Below are 1656 nucleotides of genomic sequence, written 5' to 3'. Positions count from 1 at the left end.
TGCATTTGGAGCCAGTTAAACTTTGCAAGATACTTCCGATTTCTCTGTTACTGTTCCCTTACACCTGCATTCCTTGTTCCCATTTTATTCCTAGCTTTCTCTTCACACCCAAGAGGTGACTCATTTCAGTGGTAAATGAACAAGAATATGCCCAAGGTTTGAAAATTTTCAAATGAGAGTGTTAAGTGAATGCAGAAGATTATACTTAAAATACCTGTCACAACTCAGGTGGCATCTGTTTCAAGAGCACAAATAATCCAATATTTTGTCGTCTCATCATTCACGGCTCTTTCAGAGAAAACAGAAAGCAGAAAAAGCTACAAGCGAAACCAAATAAACAAATTTTGGTTAGACAAGGGGGACAAACCAGGCTATTTTAAAACCTGAAAATGTAATCACCTTACTTGCTTATGTGAAATGCTCATGTTTTGACAAAGTTTTAAAGCCTGCATTTTCTGAATTAACATGGTTATCCAAATACCAGTTGATTTAAAGTGAGAATGATAGTGGTGAGAGTGAAGATGGCATAGCTACTATGCTATATATAAGCTACATGTAAAAAATTACACATTTACACACACATACAAACTTTTTAAGTGATTAGACAGGACTTCTTTAATTCGTATAATTAAAACAACCATATACATTTTGTTAGGGGCCAATGGATGCCTTTGGAGAATTTAAAATATATTAAAAATATAAATAATACAATTTATCTATTTTCTATATTTTATTTATATAAGCAAGACAAAATAGACATGTACATCTTCAAGGTTGCTATGCAAGTTGCTGAGATGCATGATTCTATATAATTCCATCACTCCCATACTTATATCAATATTTAGAAATTTGCTCTAGGGAGAGATTGATTTACCATATGTGGTGATAACAACCATTACAAACTCCCAATATTTCACAAACCACGATATAAATTGACTTTACTTCACACTCCTGGATGCCATTAGGCTCCTCCCCTACCAGGGAAATTGTTTCCATGGTAACTGAAAGAGAAAAAGCACAGGGAGGGAAAAAAGACACAAAAAGCTAACGAAATGAGATATCTATGGAATAAACCAAATATGGGAAAGTGTTGGATGTCATAACACTTTTATTGCTTCTAGACCCATATACACCTAAAGATGCTACTAAGGCCACACTGTCTGACAGACGAGTTGTAAAGGAAATTCTTTGCCTGAGGTTGGACTTGTTAAAATGGCCAACAATCAGCAGGGCTGCCTGCTATTTCCCATCGTAGAGGACGCTTTATAAATCAAGCCTGCTAAATCTTTCTATCCACCAACTCTGCAGAACCAGTGTGGACATGGTCATAATAATTCAGTGTATGGCAGATAGTTGGGTTGGAAGCAGAGCTGTTCACAGGGACAACGAATCACCCTTCGTAAGGTAGCTGCAGTCCTTGTTTCCACCTCACACAGAATTCTCTGGTGGGTGTCAAGTATTAAAATCCATTCAGATCTGTTGGGGCACTGAGGAAGCTCTCTTGAACGAAACATTAGGTTGCACCTGCTTGTATCTTTTTCCTCATGTTGCTGAAGTAAAATATGCAGCTAACGTAATTTAATTTTTATTAGATTCCGCATATATGTGGCTTTTAGAATGAACTCAGGGGAATGCACATTACTTATAAACATATAC

The 1656-nt window shown here is 36.5% G+C and overlaps 1 annotated feature.

Annotated features, from left to right (window-relative positions):
• Window positions 338-467: a silencer, noted in NCBI's record as "silent region_19242". NCBI's record gives its function as "represses an Ori minimal core promoter by ATAC-STARR-seq in GM12878 lymphoblastoid cells {active_cell/tissue: GM12878}" and the evidence as "EXISTENCE:reporter gene assay evidence [ECO:0000049][PMID:35858748]".

The sequence above is a fragment of the Homo sapiens genome, chromosome 8 (genome assembly GCF_000001405.40).
Source record: "Homo sapiens chromosome 8, GRCh38.p14 Primary Assembly".
Classification (NCBI taxonomy): Eukaryota; Metazoa; Chordata; class Mammalia; order Primates; family Hominidae; genus Homo; species Homo sapiens.
The sequence above is the reverse complement of the archived record's forward strand: the minus strand, read 5'-3'. Positions and strand labels throughout refer to the sequence as shown.